At 49.7% G+C, this 23,214-nt stretch overlaps 2 protein-coding genes across 11 annotated transcripts in view; one reads left to right on the top strand and one right to left on the bottom strand.

Moving 5' to 3' along the window:
• Nucleotides 1–12,471, top strand: part of TTLL9 (tubulin tyrosine ligase like 9) — a 74,367-nt gene extending 61,896 nt beyond the window's left edge. For 2 of the 10 annotated variants that reach the window (NR_148014.3, NR_134519.4), the window contains 8 exons: nucleotides 1,271–1,329; nucleotides 2,163–2,359; nucleotides 4,867–4,980; nucleotides 5,630–5,734; nucleotides 6,613–6,737; nucleotides 10,416–10,526; nucleotides 11,237–11,316; nucleotides 11,497–12,471. Coding sequence is in view for 2 of the 10 variants with exons in the window: in NM_001008409.5 (NP_001008409.1) it covers nucleotides 1,271–1,329; nucleotides 2,163–2,359; nucleotides 4,867–4,980; nucleotides 6,613–6,737; nucleotides 10,416–10,492 (572 nt within the window). In the remaining 8 variants the exon portion in view is untranslated. Of the gene's footprint in view, nucleotides 1–1,270; nucleotides 1,330–2,162; nucleotides 2,360–4,866; nucleotides 4,981–5,629; nucleotides 5,735–6,612; nucleotides 6,738–10,415 lie in introns of all 10 variants that reach the window. The other 8 variants (NR_148013.3, NR_160276.2, NM_001008409.5 and 5 more) reach the window with 6 other exon arrangements.
• On the bottom strand, nucleotides 11,808–19,517 carry PDRG1 (p53 and DNA damage regulated 1). Its single transcript, NM_030815.3, has 5 exons — nucleotides 19,346–19,517; nucleotides 17,783–17,858; nucleotides 16,279–16,353; nucleotides 13,967–14,047; nucleotides 11,808–13,360 (listed from the first exon to the last, which is right to left on the bottom strand). Exons 1-5 carry the CDS (start codon nucleotides 19,430–19,432, stop codon nucleotides 13,278–13,280), a joined length of 402 nt encoding a protein of 133 aa, NP_110442.1. The 5' UTR covers nucleotides 19,433–19,517; the 3' UTR covers nucleotides 11,808–13,277.
• Between the last annotated feature and the right edge of the window lie 3,697 nt (nucleotides 19,518–23,214).

Consider the following 23,214-nt stretch of genomic DNA (forward strand, 5'->3'; position numbering starts at 1 on the left):
GGATACCTTTTCCAGAGAGGCTGAAACCACCCTACTCTGTTCAATACACCACAGACTGGCAGAACCATACATTTAGGGGAATTAGACTTGGAGTCAGAGACCTAGAACCTCTACCTCCCCATCTGAGAAATGCCCCAAGTAAGTCCTGGAGAAAGTCAGGTCTTATGGTCATTTCATGAGGTTTGGTACTGGGTGTGGTGGCTCACACCTGTGATCCCAGCACTCTGGAGGCCGAGGCGGGTGGATTACTTGAGGTCAGGAGTTTGAGATTGGCCTGGCCAACATGGTGAAACCCCATCTCTACTAAAAATACAAAAATCAGCTGGCTTGGTGGTGGGCACCTGTAATCCCCGCTACTTAGGAGGCTGAGGGAAGAGAATCGCTTGAGCTCGGGAGGCGGAGGTTGCAGTGAGCTAAGATTGCGCCACTGCACTCCAGTCTGGGCAAAAGACTACGTCTCAAAACAAACAAACAAACAAATACAACAAGGTTTGGGGAAGCCATCCTGCTTAGTTGTGGGGTGAAGATGTTGAGGAAGGAGTATTCTGAATGGTGGTCACTTAACTTCTCTGAGCCTCCATGGTCTCATCTGTGAGATGGGAATAATTTGGGGAACAAATGAGATAATGTGTGTAAACATGCTCTGTGAGCTGCAAAGTGCTGCTGATGTCACTGGTGGTGACGATGGTGATGGTACTGAGAGGCCAAATCTCAGGGCTGGGCCTTCCAAGGCCACCCTGACCCTATCCCAGTGCTGGATCCCTTTGCCAATATTCCTACAAAGTGGCCGCCCAGCCTGGACCCCTCTAATGACAGACAGCCTACTGTGTCCTGAGATGGTTGTTCTGTATTTGGTTCCTTTACTTGTTAGAACCACTCCTCTTGAATTAAAAAAAAAAAATCATAATATACCACAAAGGTTAAAAGAAAAGAAAAGAAAAACCGTAGTATAATAGCTATGCCAGGCACTGGAAGAGGCACAGTATTTAACCTTTTGAAAAATCCTGTGAGGTCAATATACTGCTATGTACCCCCATTAAAAGGTGGGGAAATAGGCCCAGGGAAGTGAAATGGCTTTTCAGGAGCCCACAGCCAGGAAAGATGCAGGCAGGATTTGAATCCAGGCCCATCTGACTCCAAAGCTCACACACACGACCGTGGAGCTATTTCGTAGCCTTCCCCATCAATTCTCAGTTCAGTCCTGGGGACTTCGTGGGGCAGAGCTCACCCTTTTTGTTCACGCTGACCCTTGACCACCACCCTCTCCCAGATGTTCACCTCACCAACGTGGCTGTGCAAAAAACATCTCCCGACTACCACCCAAAGAAGGTGAGGAAGCCGGGCTCGGCTATGCACGGGTACAGCCCTCTGGCGCCAGGTCGGGGTGGGGAGGGTGGAGTGGCAAGGAGCCCAGGACAGGCCTGTCTGAGCCTGTGTTCACCAGTGAGGCAGGCCTACCCATCCCACTTGCAGGGCTCAGGGCAGGACTACAAATGGAGGCCCACATATCATGTGTCTCAGTATTTAAAAGTTGCAAATCACACTAACACACACCTAAACAAAATATGTCCTATCCTCCTACCTTGACAGATATCTTCTATTGGTCAACGGATTAATCGATTAATGTAATGTATCATACAGATATATTTTATCTCTCTGTCTATGTAAAATAACCTGCAAGGCCAGGTTCAAATACAGAATTCTCAGACTTCTCAGAGTCAAGGGCCAGATCAAGGGGACACAGGAGAGCAGGTCCCCAGCTCACACCTGTTCCCTTCTCTTCCCTCCCCAGCTCCATCCCACAGTGGGGCCCTTGTGCATACACAGCCCTGAAAATGGCAGCCTGTCGGTCACTCCTTGGCCTTGGGATGCACACATGGTCAGTGTGGTCTGTCCTTAGCAAGTCAGGCTCAGAAAAGGGGCCTACGCAGGCCATGTGGGCAGGGACTTCTGGGGTCCTGCATAGCCAGTCCTCTTAGACATGAAGAATTTTTGCCCCTCAAAGAGGGGCACACCTGGGGTCATCCTAATTACAGGGCTCAGGGCTGGGCCCCTCTTGCCCAGGTCTAAGGGAAACACTGAGAGCAATTGTGTAAGGGTCCTAGCAGGCCAGGTCCTGACTAACTGAGGCTCCTCTCTCGACCCGGCTGCCCGGGGCCCAGGGCTGCAAGTGGACGCTGCAGCGCTTCCGGCAGTACCTGGCGTCCAAACACGGGCCCGAGGCAGTGGAGACACTCTTCAGGGACATCGACAACATCTTTGTCAAAAGCCTGCAGAGTGTGCAGAAGGTGATCATCAGTGACAAGCACTGCTTCGAGCTGTACGGCTATGACATCCTCATCGACCAGGACCTCAAGCCGTAAGTGGGTGGGTGGGAGAGCCAGGAGGTCATAGTTTGCATACTCGGCACCCAGACTGCCCAGGTTTGAATCCCAGCTCTGCCAATTCCTAGTTGTATAACCTTGTGCACACTTACATTTACTGTGCCTCAATTTGCCCATTTGTAAATGGGGTTGGTCATGACAGGATCTATCCATAGGTCATTAGAGGATCGTTATGAGGAATAAGTGAGATATAGTCTTTGGAGCACTGAGGACCGAGCCTGGCACTGGGAGGCCCTTCCTGATCATCTGCTGAGTCAGGAATTCTCCCCTATACCAAGCAAGAAACTTCCCCTCTGTAAGTCTTGGAGCTTTGAAGATGCAAAGAGCCATATAATGGAATATTGTTACAATGTCGATCTCTGCCAAGACTTTGATCCACTCCCAAGATGCCCGTGGAGGAGGTTGAGCTGACGAATAGAACAAGCCTGACCTGGCAGGGACCACCACGATGGCCTCACATGATGCAACAGGACACAGAAGCCCAGTGAGGGTCAGGGAGCTTGAGGTCATGTAGCAAGTCAAGGGCAAAGCCAGGCCCAGGGTCCAAGGACCTGGGCTGAGCTGCTCCCCACCAGCACTGCCAGCTCCAGGAGCCAACCCCCTATTCAGGGTCACCATGTAAGTGTTGAGGGGCTTTCTAAGCCAGGAGGAGGAGCCCTAGAGCAAGACCTAAGTCAGGCCCTTGCTCAACGGAAACAGGGTCCTGGCACCAGCAGGTCTCTCTCCTTTGTCCCCTGCAGCAGGATGTGACTGCTGGCATTAAGGTGGACGTGGTGGAGGAATAAGCTCTGGCCCATGCTTGGACACCAGCTACTGCAGGAAGCACTGGAGCATCCACTTGCAGCCCTGGGGCCTGGGTAGTCAGGTTAGGGGAGGGACCTCAGTTAATCGCCACCTGGCCTGCTGAGACCCCTAAACAATTGCCCTCAGTGCTGCCCTTAGGCCTGGACAAGAGGGGTCCAGCCCTGAGTGTTGTGATTAGGATGACTCCGGCTGTGCCCCTCCGTATGGGCAAAAATTCTGCAGGTCCAAGAGGACTGGCTGCACAGGACCACAGATGGCTACGTCACCTCTCTGAGCCTGTTTCCTCATTTGTAAAATGGGAAACACCATGTCTACCTCTCCAAGTTGTTAGAGTAATTTACCAAGATAATTTGCTGTGTAGTGGAAAGGGGCTTGGTCTCCCACAGACCTGCTGGGTGAGCCCTTCCCTCTCTGGGCCCCAGCTTTCTGTCTGTAAAAGGATGGGGTTGAACAAGACAAGAGGTGGCTAGCGGGAGGTCTTTGGGCTGCTTTTGGCCTGCAGATACTTCGAATTTGGCCTTTAGACTGTTTTTGTTTTTAATTTCAATTTATTGACAGGCTCTAAAATTTGGAAGATGTTTACATAAAAATCAGAATTACCAAGTACAGTGACTCAAACACCTATAATAATAATACCAACTACTCAGGAGGCTGAGGCAGGAGGATGACTTGAGGCCAGGGGTTCAAGGCTGCAGGGAGCTAAGATTGCACCACTGCTCTCTAGCCTGAGTGACAGAACTGGATTCTGACTCTTTAAAAAAAAAAAAAGTCTATTTTTGGCTTTTCTGGAAAAATCAGATGATCTCGCAATTCTGGACTCACATTCCCACAGGGCGGCACTCTCCTGGGGCTGGCCACAGCCACCCCTTTAGACTTGGAATGCCCTCTCCAGCTCACCACAGTCTCCACCCCTCCCCACCGCTTCCCACCCCCTGACACAGCAGGTTGGGTGCCACCTACAGTGTGCAAATTTTCACTAAGAAAGGGAAGTTTTTCTTGCATTCACATCTCTATTGGAAGAAGGGAAAACAATAACACCACGAAAGCACCATAATCATTCCTATGCCAGCTTTCTACATTTGAGTTACCTTTCTTCAAAGTGGAAAGGTGGCTCATGCCTGTAATCCCAGCACTTTGGGAGGCTGAGGCGGGTGGATCACCTGAGGTCAGGAGTTTGAGACCAGCTCGACCAACATGGTGAAACCCCATCTCTACTAAAAATACAAAGAAATTGGCTGGGCGTGGTGGCAGGCACCTGTAATCCCAGCTATTCGGGAGGCTGAGGCAGGAGAATCACTTGAACCTGGGAGGCAGAGGTTGCAGTGAGCTGAGATCATGCCATTGCACTCCAGCCTGGGCGACAAGAGCAAAACTCCCTCTCCAAAAAAAAAAAAAAAAAAGTGGGAGGGGCCTGGGCACAGTGGCTCCCATCTGTAATCCCAGCACTTCGGGAGGCTAAGGCAGGAGGATGACTTGAGGCCAGGAGTTTGAGACTAGCCTGGGCAACCTAGCAAGACCCTATCTCTATAAAAATAATTAAAAAAAAATAGAAAGGTAGAGAGAGTAGCCTGGATTGAATTGACGGTGGGGTCCATGCATCCATCTAGCCTCTCAGTGAAATCCTAGGGGCTCCAGGGACCGAGTAACCCTAAGACTCTCTACTCCCCTCCCTTCCCAGGTGGCTCCTGGAGGTCAATGCGTCCCCATCACTGACAGCCAGCAGCCAGGAAGACTATGAGCTCAAGACCTGCCTCCTGGAAGACACCCTGCATGTTGTGGACATGGAAGCGAGGTGAGGGAGGGCAGCCTTGATCACATGTCCTTGTACATGACAACTGAGGCTCCCACCAAGGAAGAGGGGGAGCTTAGAACCTTGGGGCCTGAGTGGCCCTCAGCGATGGCTCTGGCCTGCCCCACCACTTTATAGATGGAGAAGCTGAGATGTCCACAGAGGGTGGGGTCCTGACCCAAGGACTTGACCTCTCCAGGGCAGAGCAGGGCCAACTACAGCTTTCTGAGACAGTCCAGCAGGATTTCCTCGAAACCTCCTGACTGTGGGGCTCTGGACTAGTCACATCACCTTTCTGAGCCTCAGCTTCCTCATCTGTAAAATAGGAAATGCCATGTCTGCCTCTCAGAGTTGTTAATTTACAAAGATAATTTACTATCTAGTGCTTAGCTAACAGTAAGTGCTCAATACAAAGCTATTGTTTTAACAATGTGCAATAGCAGAAAAAAAAAAAAACCCAGAGCTACTTTTAGGAATGGGTGAATCCAGGTGCTCAATGTTGGCTGGTCTATTCTCTCTCTCTCTTTCTCTCTCTCTGTTTCTCTCTCTCTCCCTTTCTCCCTCCCTCTCCCTCTCCCTCCCTCCCTCTCCCTCTCCCTCTCCCTCCCTCCCTCTCCCTCTCCCTCCCTCCCTTCTCTTTCCTCTGTATTAGCTTTTCCCCGATTATTCCAGCAGAAGTTTGAGGGCTGATTCTCCTTGCTGGTAACTGGGACACATTCCCATTCCTAAACCACTCACTGTGACTCTGCTTGACCAGGTATAGTTCTTGTGCCCACCTCCTAGGGAGTGGGGTCAACCCCATGTGAGCCATGGGGTGAGGGAGGGAGGGAGGAGTGGTTCTCAGAGGAAAACCCAAGGTACTCTTGGACTGAAAGAAGGTGAAATGGATGCTGAGCAGGCAGAAACCTCAGGTATCCACTATTCCTACCATCACCTATTCATTCAACAAACATTTGAGCCCTGCTCTGTACCAGGCCCTGTGCCATACCCTGCGGACACAGTAAGGAACACAACAGAACTAGTCCCTGCCTTTATGGAGTTTAAGGTCTGAGGAGGAAAGCAGACTTTAAACCAGAAATCACAAATAGCGGCCGGGGGTGGTGGCTCACGCCTGTAATCCCAGCACTTTGGGAGGCCGAGGCGGGCAGATCACTTGAGGTCAGGCGTTTGAGACCATCCTGGCCAACATGGTGAAACCCCATATGTACTAAAAATACAAAAATTAGCTGGGTGTGGTGGTGTGCGCCTGTAGTCCCAGCTACTCAAGAGGCTGAGTGAGGAGAATCACTTGAACCAGGAGGCAGAAGTTGCAGTGAGCCAAGATTGTGCCATTGCACTCCAGCCTGGGTGACAGAGAGAGACTCTGTCTCAAAACAAGAACAAAAACAAACAAACAAAAAAAACAAATAGGGGCATGTTACCAAGAGCAAGTAGGAGGAGCCTTGGGGGAAAAATGGGAACAACCCCTCAGAGACCTACATAGGCACCTGGGAAACAGCCAATGAATGGTTGGGAAAAAGGACTTCTGAGGGACGGACATCAGTTGGGCTCAGGGAGAGATCAGGGACCTCACTTGGGTCTTAGGGCTCTGCCAGGTGCACCTTCATTAACCCTGTGGGCCTCCTTCCTGTCCAGGCTCACGGGAAGGGAGAAGCGAGTCGGGGGCTTTGACCTCATGTGGAATGATGGCCCTGTTAGCAGAGAGGAGGGGGCTCCTGACCTGTCGGGAATGGGAAACTTTGTGACCAACACACATCTCGGTATGTAGGGCCAGGTGGGGAGTGGGCACAAGGGATGGGGTCATGGGAGGTACCAGGTAGTCTAGGAGGCAGCTTGGGATAGTGGTTAGATTGTTTGAATTCAATCTGCAACTTACCAGCTGTGTGACCTTGGGCAAGGGACTTAACCTCTGTTCCTCGTTTTTAAACTTGGTTTCTAAAAAGTGAAAACTTTCCCTGATTATAAAAAAGGGATTCACACTCATTGTAGAATATTTGAAAACTAGAGAAAGAAATAAAAACATCCAGACATAAGCATCTTTAACAATCTGGTGTATTTCCTTCCAGTTCTTAAAAAATGCATATATTCATACTTTTTCTTTTATAAAATTGGCATTGGGCTAGAGTTTTGAATCCCTCTTTTCCCCTTGGCATTTTTCATTCAAGCATATTAAGAGCCTCCCTCTTGAATGCACTTTTTGGTCCAGTCCGGATGAAATCTTTTACATACATTATCTCATTTTATCTTTAAGGAGTTTTTATTGTCATTTTACAGATGAGGAAATGATATCCAGGTGCTATGTAACTTGCTGAATGAAGGTTTTGGCCATAAGTGGTGAGCCAGGACTCAAACTCCCATCTGCCTGGCTCCAAAACTTGAGTGCTTGTCCGCTAGACTCTCCTGCCTCTTGGCAGAGTTTAAAAAAATTACCATATGGCTGCAAAATATTTCAGTTTGTACATATGCCAAAATTTACTAAACCAATTTCTTATAATTGGACATTTGGCACAATTGCATTTTATTTTTTTTTTACTTTTATAAATTATACCATGATGAACATCCTTTCACATTAAGCTCGGCTGAAATTCTGGCCATTTCCTGAGGACAGATTCCTAGAAGCAGAATTATTGGGCCAAAGGGATGGGATTATTACAACCAAATTTCTTTCCAGAAAGATTATACGAATTTGTCAGATTTGAATTTTTAGAAAAAAGAAATCTGTGCCAACTGGTGAGGTAAAACATACTGACTCGTTGTTTTATGTGCATTCCATTGATTACTGGTGAGGTTTCCGTTTTTTAAATTTGCATTTCTTCTTTTGTAAGCTGTCCATACTCTTTATCCATTTTTCTATGGGTTGTTTAGTTTTCTAAATGTATAAGGCTTCAGATGACTATATAACACTGTCCAAGCTTAATTTAATATGCATACAATCACCTGGAAATCTTGTTAAACTATAGATTGTGACTCCATAGGTCTAGGGTGGGGCCTAAGATTGTATTTCTAACAAGCTCCTGGGTGATGCTCTATTGATTAACCATTGCTGTGTAACAAGCCCTCCCAAAACCTAGCAGCTTAAAGCAACTATTTTATTTGCTCATCCTTCCTCAGGTCTCTCCTGGGGTCACTTATAGGGCTGCAGGCACCTGGCAGATTTACTGGAGACTTGATGGTGTACGACAGCCTCATTCATAGGTGTGGGGGTTGATACTGGCTGTCAGTTGGGCCTCTCTTTCCATGTGGCCACTCGTCTTCCAACAGTCTGGCCCTGGCTTCTTCACGTGGTAGACTCGGGGTTCTAAGAGGGTGAGAAAACACACTGCAAAGCCTTTTGCGGCCCGGACTCAGAAGTCCCATAAAGTCATTCTGCTACAATCAAAGCATTTGCTGGTGTAGCCCAGTCACTGGGTAAGAAAATAGACCCCACCTCGCCGGGCGCGGTGGCTCACGCCTGTAATCCCAACACTTTGGGAGGCCGAGGCGGGCGGATCATGAGGTCAGGAGAGCGAAACCATCCTGGCTAACACGGTGAAACACTGTCTCTACTAAAAAATACAAAAAAATTAGCCAGGCGTGCTGGCGGGCGCCTGTAGTCAGCTACTCGGGAGGCTGAGGCAGGAGAATGGCGTGAACCCGGGAGGCGGAGCTTGCAGTGAGCCGAGATTGCGCCACTGCACTCCAGCCTGGGCGACAGAGCGAGACTGTCTCACACAGAAAAAGAAAAAAAAAAAAAAAAAAGAAAATAGACCCCACCTTTTGATGAGAGGAGCAGCAAAGTCACCTTGCACAGAGGTGTGCATATAGGAACATTGTTGCAGCCTTCTTTGCCAACAGTGCACCAAAGATATCAATGCGCTACTTCCTGGACCCCCATTTGAGTAGCAAAGATGGAAAGCGGCGGTTCTCTATCTTGGCTGCCCATTGGAATCACCTGGGAGCTTTAAAGACTACTGACGCCTGCCAGATCAAGATATGGTTGGTGTGGGCATCAGTAGCTTTTAAAGCTCCCAGGTGATTCCAATATGCAGCCCAAGTTGAGAGCTACTGTTTTTTTTTTATTATTTTTTTTTGAGACGGAGTCTCGCTCTGTTGCCCAGGCTGGAGTGCAGTGGTGCAATCATAGCTCACTGTAACTAACCTCAAACTCCCAGGCTCAAGCAGTCCTCCTACCTCAGCCTCCTGAGTAGCTAGGCCTACAGGCACACACCACACCTGGCTAATTTTATTTTTGTGTGTGTGATTTTTTTCCTGTAGAGACAAAATCTCACTATATTGACCAGGCTGGGAGAGCCAGTGCTTTAGAAGTCTCTAGAATTATTCCTGTTTCAAGTGTTTGGGTTTATGGTGGTAAACACAAGGGTAGCTGGTTAGGGTAGGAAGAGTACTGATGAACTGAGTTAGGGAAGCGTTCAGGGACATCCAGGTGAAAGGGTCAGCAGATAACTCAGAGATGAGTGTAGAACTCCAAGAAGTTTGCACTGGACAAGAAGACTCGAGAGTTAGGAATGAGCCAAATAGAGTTTAAGTTAGGGCTGCATGGAACTCACTCTGGAAAACCCTGAGGATGTGCATCGTAGGCTCTCAGCTCAGTGAATGGCTGAGTGAGTGTCTGGGAAGCAGGGACAGGGTTTGGGGGGATGTGGAAGATGGCAGACACCCACAGGTCAGAACTAGTGGCCACAGAGATTCAGTCATTCAAGCAGCATTTTTGAGTGCCAGCAATGTGCCTGGCATGAGGTTAAATGACCATAGTTACCTCAAGGATCAGCTCTGAGAGCAAACAGCCAACATGTAGCACCATGAACGTCCTGGGAGAGACGTCTCAGCAGCTCACGGCAGCCTCAGCACGAACTGCCTGGGATTGGGGGCCACATGTACGGAAAACTCATCTCTTAGCCAGTTGTGCCTGGCACATGGGTTGGGTAAGGGAAGAAAGCTAACAGTACTGGGCAGCTATGAGGTGCCAGGCACTGTGCTAGCTTTAAATGCATTTTCACTGAGCAAAGCCAGGAGAAGCAGCAGCGTGGGGTAGTGGTTAAGAGTGTGGCTCTGGCACCAGGTAGTCTGGGTTCAAATGATTTAACCTCTCTGAGCCTGTTTTCCCTTCTACACATCATTCCTGCGAGGGCCAAACAAATCCATCCACATTCAGCATCTGGAGCAGTTCCTGGCTTGAGGTAAGCCCCCAGTCCTCATGTTCACTCCATAAGGTGGGCAGTAGTATCCTGGTTTACAGATGAGAAGACCGATGCTGAAAAGGGTAACTGACCTGCTTGAGGGCCATGGCAGTTTAGGAATGGAGCCAGGATATAAACCACAGGCTGTGTGTGGTTGTCTGACTCCCGCTGTCCCCTCTTCCCAGCAGGGAGTTGGGGCACAGGCCCCTCCACTCCTCCCAAGCATAGGTCATCCCAGCCAACACCCCACTTCCTTTCCAGGCTGCGTCAACGATCGGAAGAAACAACTGAGGCAGCTCTTCTGCTCCCTTCAAGTTCAGAAGAAAGCTTCCAGTTGATCCCCAGCTGCCAGGAGGAAATCAGCCTTAGCAGGTGCCACCCAGGCCTCCCCCCCACTCCCAGATCCCAGCACAGCACCTCACAGCATTCGCCTCCCCACCTCCAGCCTGGCACCAGCTTTGCTGGCTTAGCAGCTGCAGCTTACTACCTGAATTGGGCCCCTTGGATACCTCCAGCCCATCCCCAGGCATCTTTGCACCAGGAGACAGCCAATCACTGGGACTGGGGGAGGTTTAACCTTGACAAACTGACTTGGCAGTTAGGCCCAAAGAGAACAAATACAGCAAGTTCTGCTACCCCCAGGAGATCATATCTAATAAATGAGCACAGGCCCTACTTGGAGTCACTGGGCACCAGGCCTGGTTCCGGGGATACTGTTGGCTGCAGCCAAGTCCTCCTGGCTTTGACACTTGGATACCTCCCAAGTCAGTGCTGAAAAGGTCCTTCAGGAGCAAGAGTTTGGAGGCTAAGGAACTCGTCTTTAAGCTGTGCTTACACAGCAAGCAGTTATTAGATTGTGTGTTTATTGGGGGCCTGGGGAAGTACTGAGCCCTAAACACATCCTCTTCTCCTTGCATGTCAGGGGAGCCCATGGGGCTCCCTGACCATCATCTGAAAACCAGTGGGACAGGGCATCCCCATTTCTCAGATGGACAAGACAGACCAGGGAGGCAGAGCTTAGTGAGGGTCTCTGCAAAGGTGCATTTATCTAAGTCAGATGGGTGACTTAAGTGCTTCTCTAGGCCTTGTGTTTGAGATTGGGAGCTGAGCCAGAAACCGGAAAACCCTGGGCTCATGGGCAGGACAGCTTCGGGAGTTGAGTGTGAGTAAAAATCTGCCTTTTCACATCTTACATTGCTAAGCTTCCTCTTGGTTTAAGAGGGGTTGCAACAAGACTCGGGGCTGTTGGGGTAACTGTTCCAGGGGGGACTTACTCCCTCTACCACTCCGCCTGCTTCAGAGTAGTTTCTCTGGCTGCAAATGGTTGAATCTGCCTGCCTAGGTCAAGCCCGAAGGGAAGACTTTTGGAAGGAAAATACTGGCAAATCCAAGAAGTGAACCAGCCGACTTTAGGAAAGCCAGAAGCCAGGCTACTCTAGACCTTCTGCCTTCAGAGCATGAGGACTTCTCCCACTCATCCCTGTACCTGAGGCACACCAACCCAGACAGGTCCAGGCATGGACTCCAGGTTCCCTATTTCCAGAAGGAATGCGATTAGCTTTTTTTGGCCCAGCACCCACCCTGCCAGGGAGGAAGGGGCAATTTTCCAGTGATGAAATTGTGAATCAGGCAGTCACACTGGACAACATCTAGCAAGGTGAATTCTGCAACTCCCTACTTTATTTACATTTTAAAATAAGCAATATATTCATACGGTTTAAAATCCAAAGTTTACAAAAGGGTATAGGGTGACATCTCCTTCCCTCCCACCTGTGCGCCCCAACCCTGCAGGTGCTGTTCTGAGGGAATCACACTGTGCTTGCACAAAAATTATTAGCTTATAAGACACCAGCCTTCCCCTTGCTTTCCTCACTTGATGTATCTTGGAGCTTGTTCCTTATTCTTGATTATAGTTGTATGGTATTGCACTATCTGGAGCTAACACCTGTGACCCACACTCATGTTTTAAAAGTTTCTGCATTAGTCAAAAATATTTAAAAGGAGATTCAACTTCACAACCCATATGTCTAGCTTCTCTTGAAAACACGTAAGAACTGGCCATGACAGCCTGTGTTTCTATGTAACTATGAGCCAGAGCCAAGGAGCGGGGGGACCAGGAGAGGTGTGCCCCTGCCATGCTGCCATTTGTTATCACCCGCCTGTCAAATCACAGGTTTATTTCAAGGCAAGAACCATGTTCATAGGTTGTATTCTAAATGGAGTGGCGTGCCCTTACTGAAGGACTAGATGAGGCAAATAAAGACTAGTTGCTGCTATTCATTCATTCAGCTAACATTTATTGAGCCCTTAATGAACACATAAGAGTTTTGACTTCACGGCAGTTCATACTGGGACCTCAGACCACTGAAGGCAGACAGTAACGAGCAGTGCTGGCCGGGCCCCACTTTCAGAGGGGGCGGAAGGGCATCTTGACACGTGTCATATGGTAAGAGGCGCATCCACTCACCCAGGCCTGGTGCAGGACTCTGCAAGGCCCTCCTGAGTAAAGAGTGGCCACGAAGGGCTGCTAGGCAGCACCTACTCTTGGAATCAAGCAGGGAAAAAGTGCAAAATTGGAGCTGGCGGGAGGTGTGTGTGCCTGCCCCACAGATGGCTGTGGTGAGCCACAAAGCACCAAGATTCTGTTCTTCATTCAGCAACCACCCATGAGCCTCCTGCTTTATTCCAATCGCATGGCACCAGCCTGAAAACCTCTCTCCCTTCTGAGAGGAATGCTGGAATGACACTCCACTCTGCCCCTCCCTCCCTCCTTCCTTGCTCAGGGTCCATGTGAACAGCAGGCCATTGTTGGGAAGTGCCTGTTGCAGTCATTCTTACACCCCCACAGCCACTGCCCCACACACCCACTGGTGGCTACCAAGGCCCGTCAATAGATCTTGTGTCCACCGAGCCCTGGTGTCCAGGTCCAGCAGCCAGACAGGCTGAAGGTTCCCTCCTGCCATCACAGAGTAGCCAAGCACTACAAAGAGGTTTTCATGGCCAGATTCCTGACGGCTGGCCCCTTACAGGGCAGATCCTGTCCTTACAGGTGTCAAGGTTGGAGGGTCCTGGGTCCTCCATGACCCTGGGGGGTTGCTGGTCCCCCATCTTGGTTCTTGAGTCTCATCCTTTCAAGATGACCTTGAGAGCTTTAAGCTCATCCTGGTTGAGGGGGTTCAAGTTAAAACCCTTCAGCTCCGGTTTGCCTAGGAGAGAAGATGATCCATCAGCACGTCGGGCCTCCTGCTGGCTCTGGAGCCAGGCCCAGGAAAGGGGCTGACGCTGCACTAATGCTGCCAAACTCAGCCTGGAGGTCTGGCAGGGATGGGCCTCCAATTCTGCAATGCACCAGATGAGGCATCACCACTGCTCCTGTGTCACCAAGAGCCTGCAAACGCGTAACTCTGCTGCCCAAAGAACCTCAGGTTTTTCCAAGACCTGTGACCAATCTAGAGTGCTTGCATTTATCAAGAATTTCAGCTCTGACCTCACTCACTCACTGAAGCCTTCTGAGTTTCCTCAGTCAGAGCTATCTGATCCCCATGCCATGCCCCGATGTATAACGTGAGATCACCCCAAGCGGTTCCTGGGACCTGGAAAAGAAACTATGACAGGACTAGGACTGTAGAAGTCCCCCTGTCCATTCTGTCCCTGGGCAGCTACAACCAACCACTGTGCACACCTCCAGGGCCACTCACAGGCTGCCCCGGACACTGCCCATCTCTGAGGGTCGGACTTCCCATCCCTGCCCTTCAAAGTCCATGCTGATGATTCCCTCCCCTTCTTATCTCCAGTCCCTGCTAAGCCAATACCTTGGGCCTCAAAAAGGCGGTTGACCTTCACTTTAAGTTGCTTCCGCAGTTTTTCTATTTCTTTATCCAGATGATCTTGATCTGAAAAAATGAGGGGGGCAAGCAGAGGATAAGATTGTACCAGACAGACTTGATCCCAGTAGTGGAGAGGCCAGCCTCTCCCCAGCAAGGGCGTGTAGCTTTCAGGAAGGAAAAGGGGACATCAGAGGCCAACTGAGGAAGGATTAAAGTCTAGAAGGGACATGACCTGCTCAGGACCACTCAGAGAGCCCAGGACACAGCAGTCCCAACTCCCATTACACTGGCCTTTTCTGCATTATGCAAAGTACCTTGGGGTGGTCAGTGGATGGAGAAGGCAACATCAGGACTTTAGGCTGCCCTCCCACAATGAAATTATGGAAAATTCAAATGCACAAACAAAATAAGCATCTCTAGATTCAGCCCACCCTAGATGGCTGGAAAATGGATGCCTAAGAAATTTTACAAACCCAAGTCCATCAAGGTGAGGGGGTTTTAGAAAAACATGATTGTGTAAACATGTGACGTAAACAATCAACACGCAAGCAATGCTCAAGCTTAACTTAATTAGCCACTGTGAACAGAAAAGGGTCTTCTAGTGTCATGGACTGCCCCTGAGAAGAGTTGGTGTGATGACAGAGGTGGCTATCAAAGCTTGATTGACCAATTGACTGAAGTCACCCAGCCAATTCCACCTGCTCATGAGTGACATTCTGGCTAGCCTGTCTTCCCCACAGACTCACTCTTTCAGATGGGGGAGAAACCCTGAATGGCCAAGCCTTACAGCCTGGTTCTATTTCTCATTGTGAATGAGTAACCCCAATGTCCATGAGCTTGTTTAGCCTATGTTGATCCCCAAGAAATCTGATAATGTCTCAGAACCCCTCTAGGTACAGTGACAAGACGACATTTGGGGGCCAAAAGGGCCAACAAGATCCTGAACCCAGGCAAGGGACCCTCTGAAAGCTTAGCCTCCAGCCCACCACCAAGTGCAGTTTAATTTTATAACCATAATATTAGTGTATTTTTTCAACACAACAGCTGGAAACTTCTCCAGGCTGGATATAGCTTCCTGTTAGTAGTTTTATGTCACTGGCCAGGAGCAGTGGCTCACGCCTGTAATCCCAGCACTTTGGTGGGAGGCCAAGGTGGGTGGATCACCTGAGGTCACTTAGACCAGCCTGGCCAACATAGCAAAACCCTGTCTTTACTAAAAAAACACAAAAATTAGCCACGCATGATGGCATGCACCTATAATTCCAGCTAATCAGGAGGCTGAGGCAGGAGAATTGCTTGAACCTGGGAGGCAAAGGTTGCAGTGAGCCGAGATAGCACCATTGCACTCCAGCCTGGGTGACAGAGCAAGACTCTGTCTCAAGGAAAAAAAAAAAAGTTTTATTTCATGAGGTATGAAGACATCCTGTCTTCAGGGACTGAGGCAACCTTGCTTGTCCTTTTGGCCATTTTCAAGGTTATGGAAGAAAAAGTATGTGTAGCCTGTTCTTTTTCTAGCCAATAATCCATTTGCAGCCTGACTTGCTTTAAGATGCTTTTCCAAAGAGCTTCCAGATTATGGTTGTGGAAACTGAGTACACTGAGTGCCTAGGCTATGGCAGACCCTAGAGGTTTAATCTCCCCAAACCTCCATTTTCAACCCAGTCTCTATTGCAGGGCATGTAAAAAAGAAAAGCTCACTCTCCCAGGCTCTCTTGCAGCTATGGGTGACCATGTGACTTAGTTCTGGCCAATGAGATGTTGGCAGGAAGTCCCTGAGGAGATGGCCTTACTTCCAAAATAGAAGGCAAAGCTCTATGTGGCGAAAGCCTTCTGTCTTTCCTCCAGCCTGGCATGAGGACATGAGGCCTGCAACGATGAAACAACAACCAGGAGAATATGCTAAGGTGCCACTGCTGGGCATCTATGCCAGGACTGGAGTACACACCTCTGGACAATTTCTTATGCAAGAGTAAAAGAAGCATATTTCCTTAAGCCTCAATTTGTTGGGTTTTGTTATCTGCAGCCCAACTGATTCCTCACTAATAAGAAAGCACTATGCTAGGCACACATATTGTTTTACCTCAACTGCACAGCTATGCTACACAGATGCATCCCCCTCTTAGAGATGAGGAAATAACCCACAGTGGCAGAGGTGGAATTAAAACCCACAGCAGTCTGAACCCTGTGACAGAACTGCCTCTCCTTACGCTGCCTGAAGCCTGACTCCCTGTTCTGGGTTAAGACCAAAGCTGGTGGGAGAGGCAGCACACCCCTGACCCATCCCCAGGAGGCCTTACCTTTTTCAATCATTTCCTTTGTCTCAGGGTGAGGCATCTTGATAAACATGTTCCCGAAGCAAACCATCACATCTTCTGAAAGAGCAAATAGTAATTCCTTCAACAATTTTTTTTTGAGTACCTATTATCTGCCAGGCATTGTTTTAGATACAGACAACAGAGCAGAACAAGAAAAAGTTCCTGCCCTCTTGGAGCTTATGTTACAGTGGAGGAGAGAGAATAAAGATATGATTTGTCAGACCTTAAGAGTTGTAGAGAAAAATAAAGCAGGCTAAGATGGCTAGGGAATGCCAGAGGAGGACCTTGTTAATCATAGCAGGTAGTCTGAGAAGGCCTTACTGATTATATGCTATCTACACAGAGACCTAAGGAAAGTGAGAGTGTGAGCCCTGCAGACATCTGGGGAAAGAGTGAGCCAAACAGAGGAAACAACAGGAACAGCAAAGATCAGTAGTGTGCTTGGGGTGTTCAGAACAGCAAGGGGCCGGGCGCAGTGGCTCACGCCTGTAATCCCAGCACTTTGGGAGGCCGAGGCAGGTGGATCACTTGAGGCCAGGACCTCGAGACCGGCCTGGCCAACATGGCGAAACGCTGTATCTATTAAAAATACAAAAATTAGCTGGGTGTGGTGGCACACGCCTGTAATCTCAGCTACTCAGGAGGCTGAGGCACAAGAATCACTTGAACCTGGGAGACAGAGGTTGCAGTGAGCCAAGATCATGCCACTGCACTCCAGTCTGGGTGACAGAGCAAGGCTCTGTCTCCAAATAAATAAATAAATGAATAAATAAAAGAACAGCAAGGAGACCAGTGTAGGTGGAGTCATGTTGGGGGTGGGGGGAGTAGAGATGATATTGGCACACTCATGGATTCATGGGGGCTGGATTACTCGGTCTTGTAGGACCTCTGGATTTTACTCAGGTGAGATGAGAAGCAACTGGAAGATTCTGCACATTCTAGTGTACTTTCAACAAAATGTAAACTTCCTCCCTTAGCCCCCAAGACCTTTCATTATGGCCTGGTCTCTGTCCCTCTCTCCAGCCATACTTACTCCCCATTTGCTTCCACTGCCACAGCCACTTGGCCTCATCTAAAGTGTCCCATTCTTCTGGATATATATTCTCAACACCCACCCCAAGTCCAATTCCATCTCTGGCTTTCTTACAATTTTCAATTACGCATTTTACGTTGTTTTCCTCATCTGTAAAGCACAAGGGCAGGAACCATCAGTTTTATACACCCCCGGCACTCTCTCAGTGTCTGCCATCGTTGATAAGCCAGGAGCTAACGACCTGTCACTGAAGTGAGCAGGCAAAATCCTGAACCACAGTCTGTGCCAGAACTGCAAAATTTGCTCCCCCATCTCCCCGGACTGTTTCAATTTCCCACAAGGCTGAGTTATACAGCTGTGACCTCCTGCCTGATCTCTATCAGGAACAAGGTAAAGGCCTTAAAGGAAAACGGAACAGGCCTCCAGGGCTGCACTGAGAAAATTTCAACTTACCAGAGAGGCTGAGATCCTTCTGCAGGGCCCTCAGGCCCTCTCGATTCTGATTCCTTTTAGTGTCCAGGTCCACAATCTGAAAACCACAGGGACAGGAGGGAACTCAGCTATCTCTTGCCCCAAGCTGTCACCTCTTGACAGACAAGGGTTGCAGAGGCAATGCATTATTCCTGATTACATTCAACGTCCTGCCTAAAATGGATTGATGTGTGAATGTATTTCTTCTCTCACTCAGCTTCCTGGTCTTAAAGACAATGCTTTGTGCAGCTGCCCTCTCCCCAGAAAAGATGCTGAGAAAACATGTGCTGACTAAATGGGAAATTCTGCATTATCCACTCGAACTTTAGGGCATATCAGAATCACCAGGGGAGTGGAAACCCTTCCCCTACACACTGTGATTAAGCAGGCCTAATGTTTATTTTTGGACAAACTTCTCCAGCTGATTCTGAACTAGTAATATGAGAAACCCAACAATACTAGATTGGAACAGCAGGATTGGGGGCACTGAGACAGTGGTAACAACACAATAGCTACTAAGGAAGTGACGCAGTAGTACAGTATACTGCACGAGTGCTGGTTCTGGATTTGGAATACCCAGGTTCGAATCCTGCTATCTGCCTCAAGCTGTGTAATTTCACCTTCCTATTTACTCCTCCTCAAAATGGAGCTACGGACAGTACCTACCTTACAGGTTATTGAGCCAGCAATTAAATGACTTAACACAGTACCTGGCACATAGTAAGTAGCTGATAAACTTTAACTGCTCTTATTCTCATCCAGCACACCCTGATCCAGTACTTAATTTGACAGGATCTTGCCCAAGTTTTCCCCTTCTCAGTAAATACCTGACCCTTCTAACTGGAGATGAGAGGGAGTCACGACTCCCCCGGCTCCACTACCACGGCCTACTGAGTCTGTCTCCAAAATACATTTCTGACCCCTTCACTTCTCTCCACCACCACTACCTAGTCCAAATCCATCTCTGGTCTGGACCATACCAATGGCCCCTCACCCATCTCCCTGCCTCCGCCCTTGCCCACCTATATTCTGTATTCCACACAGCAGCCAGGGGGGATCCTTTTAAAACCTAAATCCAATTACGTCACCCTCCTTCCCCCAGGAACTCCCCTCAAAAACTTGGCACTTAAAACAAGACACCCCATAAACAGGGCGCCACCTTCCCCCACGTCCCCACCCCTGCCCGGTCACAAGGCCCCCTCAGGCTTCTTTTCGGTTCCAGCTCTCCCCTGAGGGCCTTTACAGGGCGGTGCCCCTAGATCAACCATGGGGCCGGGAAGTGCATTTTGAAACAGGTGCTCAGGGAAACGGCCCAGAGCATGATGGGTCGAGATCCACAGAGCATGGCAAGGGGCAGAGAAAGGATGAAGAGAGAGGAATGTCCAGCATAGCGCAGGCGCTCACTTAGTAGCGGCCGAATATTTATCGGCCCAGGTCTGTCGCCTCGGAGCCGTTAACCGCCTGTCCAGGTCAACTCACTGCGACCCCGCGCGCTTTCCCACGGCGCCGGCCGCCAGGCCCCAGCGCCGCGGAGGGGCCTCTCACCTGCCGCTTGTCCGCCAGCACCTCCTCGGCGAGCTCCTCCACTTCTACAAGGTACCGCAGCACTCGCTCTGCCTCGGGTGATAGCATAGCGCCCACCAACTCCGCTTGCGGCTCTCGCGCGACCCCGGGATCTCCGCTTCGACTCCCGCTGCGCACGCGCCGCTCTCTAGGTGCTTCCGGCGCGCCTGCGCAGTTAAAAGAACGGTGGTGCGCAGGCTCTAACACTAGTGCGCCAGCCGGCTGCGAGAGGCGGGGCCTAGCTTTGGGGGCGGGGCTGGAGCGCCCTCTGCAGGCTCAGAGAGCTCAGTCCTCGGGCTGCCTCTGACCCGTTACTCCCTCGGTTCATGCTTCTTGAGCACTTATTATGTGCCAAGCAGTTTTATGTGCTTAGGATGCAGCAGTGAACACAACAAAATCCCTGCCCTCATGGAACTTCATCCTAGTGGGAAACACCGACAATTAATGGCAAAACAATTATATACCGTGGCAGGTAGTGATTAGGATCTGGGAAATATTATTCTTCCCCTGGCTAAGAAACACCAAGAAGGCCCATGTGGCAGTGTGACTTATGTTTAATCTCTGACACTTTCAGTTTCTAATTTATAAAAAGGGGGTGAATAAAAATCCGCCTCAGTGTCTCTCCACAGGATCGGAAGGAAGCAGGAATCAGCTGGGCGCAGTGGCTCATGCCTGTAATCCCAGTACTTTGGAAGGCCAAAGCGGGGGGATCACTTGAGCCCAGGAGTTCGAGACCAGCTTGGGCAACACAGTAAAACCTCCGTTTCTACTAAAAATACAAAAAAAAAAAATTAGCTGGGTGAGGGGGGGCGCGCCCGTTGGTCCCAGCTACTCAGGAGGCTGAGGCGGGAGGAGCACCTGCATCTGGGGAGTCGAGGCTGCCCTGAGCTATGATGGCACCACTGCACTCCAGCCCGGGTGACAAAACGAGACTCTGTCTCAAAAAACAAAGGAAGCAGTAATCACTTTTAATTCCGTTTAACCAGAGTTCACTTGAGCCCCTGTGTTGGGCCCAATGTCCAGAGTAGCTGGCCTATACATAAGGAAGGGACTTGAAAACTATGGGCAGTAAGCAATGAAGTGCTAGCTCAGAAAAGCAGGTGGGTGTGGGTGGTAGGATTGGGAGGACTTCCCAGAGAAGGCAGGCAGGTGGAAAATGGTTACCATCAGAACCAGAGGGTTCCCACGAGGTCTTCACGCCCAAACTCCTCATTGGATAGCTGGAAAAAACAAACCTCAGAGAGAGGCAAGGCTTTGAAAAGAAGGTGAGGGGTGAGCCATGTGGATGCCTAGGAGAAGAGTGTTCCAGGCAGAGGGAACAGCCAGCGTATGTGGAACAGAATGGGCGGGGGGGAAGCAGGCAGGAGGTCAGAGGGAAGGAGGCATTGAGCCCACATGGCTGTAAAAGGCGCTGGGAAAGGACTTTGAAAGTCTAAAGAGCAGAACCGATATTATCACTCTGATGTCTCGCCTCCCTGATTCCAGCGTTTTATTCTCTCCTTTTGACCTCTTGTAACCAAGCCCCTTCACACCCCTTGCCTTACTTGAGTGTCAAAGCAACCTTTGTATGGATGGGATTATTACTGCCCCATTTCACAGCTGCAGACTGAGGCCAGGAGAAAGGCAGTGCCTCATCACACAGCAAGCCAGGAGTGCCTGGTGTCCATGCCATTTCCGGACCCTGAAAAAACCCTCCCCAAAAATTGTGGCCCCAGAAGCCCCAGCAGCACCTCTATGTTGCCTAGCCATTGGCTGCCTTCAACTACCAGAGGCAGAGCTAATTTTTCCTTCAGCCACCTGGTGTGGGGAAGGAGGGAGATTCATTAAGGATTCCTCACTGAGGGTGAATTTGTCGCCAAACCCAGGATGTTTTGTATAAACACCTTCTGGTTCAGAAATGCAGGCACAGGCCCTGAGAAGGAAAGGGGGATGTTTGCCAAAGCAGAAATGGGGCTCACCAGGCATCCCTCGGCCTGGACCCCAGCACTGCGTCTCCTCCACCTTGGGACCCACAGAGGGCTGGACCAGGTTGACCCTTGACCCCTACCACATGGGCCTGGATGGGGAGAGGCTGAGGGAGGCTCCCACATTAGCAGCTTCTTGGCGGTAACTGGCCTTTAGAGGCCACCCCTGGCCACTGGAAATGTTGGGGAGGGGAATCATAGTCATTTCCAAGACTTTGAAATGGTCAGACCCAGAAAGACTCTCGGAGAGCATTTCAATTTCAGAGCCATTTATTTCACAATTATGTATTGACTTCCCAGGCCCTGTGATAGGGATTCTGCCATGAGCAAAACTGGACATGGTCCCTGCTCTCAGGAATCTCCCAGTCTGGTGAGAGAAACAATCAACATAAAACAAGTAAATATATCATATGTCAGGTGGTAAAAAGTGCTACCAAAAAAATAGCGGCTTGATGTGGGGGCTCACACCTGTAATCCCAATACTTTGGGAGGCCAAAGTGGAGAATCACTTGAACCCAGGAGTTCGAGACCAGCCTGGGAAACATAGCAAGACCCCCATCTCTACCAAAAAAATAAAAATTAAAAAGTTAGCCAGATGTAGTGGTGTGCGGCTGTTGTCTCAGCTACTCAGGAGGCTGAGGTGGGAGGATCACTTGAGCACAGGAGTTCAAGGCTGCAGTGAGCTACAATCGTGCCACTGTAACCCAGCCTGGGTGACAGAGTGAGACCCTTTCTCTAAAAAAGAAAAGAAAAGAAAGAGAGAAAGAAAGAAAAAGAAAGAAAGAAGGAAAGAAAGAAAGAAAGGAAGGAAGGAAGGAAGGAAGGAAGAAAGGAGGGAAGGAAGGAAGGAGAAAAGAAAAGATAAGAAAAGAAAAGATAGCACAGGACAAGGTGGAGGTGGAATAATGGAGGGGCTATTTGAGATAAGCTGGTCAGAGAGGGTGTCTTTGAGGAGATGGCATTTGAACAGAAGTGTGGAGGAGATGAGGGGGTGAGCCTTGTGGATATCTAGGGGAAGAGCATTCCAGGCAGAGGGAACAGCCAGTGTATTTGAATAGAATTAGTGAGGGGGAGAGGGTAGGACAGAGAGGAGAAGGAGACATTGAGCACACAGGGCTGTGGAAGGTGCTGGCAGTGCCCCACCCAAAATCCACTAGGGCCTCCCCAGAGGTCACCTGCAGACACTGCTGTGTATGCCTGTGGCTTCCTGCTTCTCTCTGCTCATGGATGCAGGTTGAGAGGGGAATGCAGTGAATTAATATCCACGAGTGTGAACTCCTACCAAGAAAAGAGAGTCGTTAGTGACTGTATACTCTAGCTTCTTTGCCCCTCTGTGAGAGACCCAAGAGGAGGCTGCTATAATCATCTAGGCAGGAGAGGGTGGCCACTGCACCAAGAGATAGCAGTGGGGGTGGTGACCAGTGGTGGGATTCTCAGGGCCTTTGCACATACTCCCCCATCGTTCTGGATTAATTTTCTCCCATGCCTTTATTCACGTGTCACTATTCCATATCCCCCACTGCTCAGCTTGGGGTTACCTCCTCCTGAGGGTCAAGAGTCCTCTCTGGGCCCCCACAGTTTTTTGGACTTCCCTTGTCTCTGTACTTCCCATACCATCTTTGTTCTCTAAACACCTTGCTTTGTAATCATGAGCTCCCCAGGGCAGAGACCTTGTCTGTCTTGTTCACTGGAAAAGTGTCCCCCTCTCTGGGTCATCACCCACCTCCCTGCTGCTGCTCACACAAGCCAGGCGTGGTCCTGCCTCAGGGTCTTTCCACTGGCTGCTGCCTCTGCCTGCACTTTTCCCTGATGTCTACATGGTTCCTTCCCTCACCATCTACCAGCTTTTTTTTTTTTTTTTTTTAAGATGGAGTCTCACTCTGTTAC

This window comes from Homo sapiens, chromosome 20, assembly GCF_000001405.40.
Source record: "Homo sapiens chromosome 20, GRCh38.p14 Primary Assembly".
In the NCBI taxonomy this organism is placed as follows: Eukaryota; Metazoa; Chordata; class Mammalia; order Primates; family Hominidae; genus Homo; species Homo sapiens.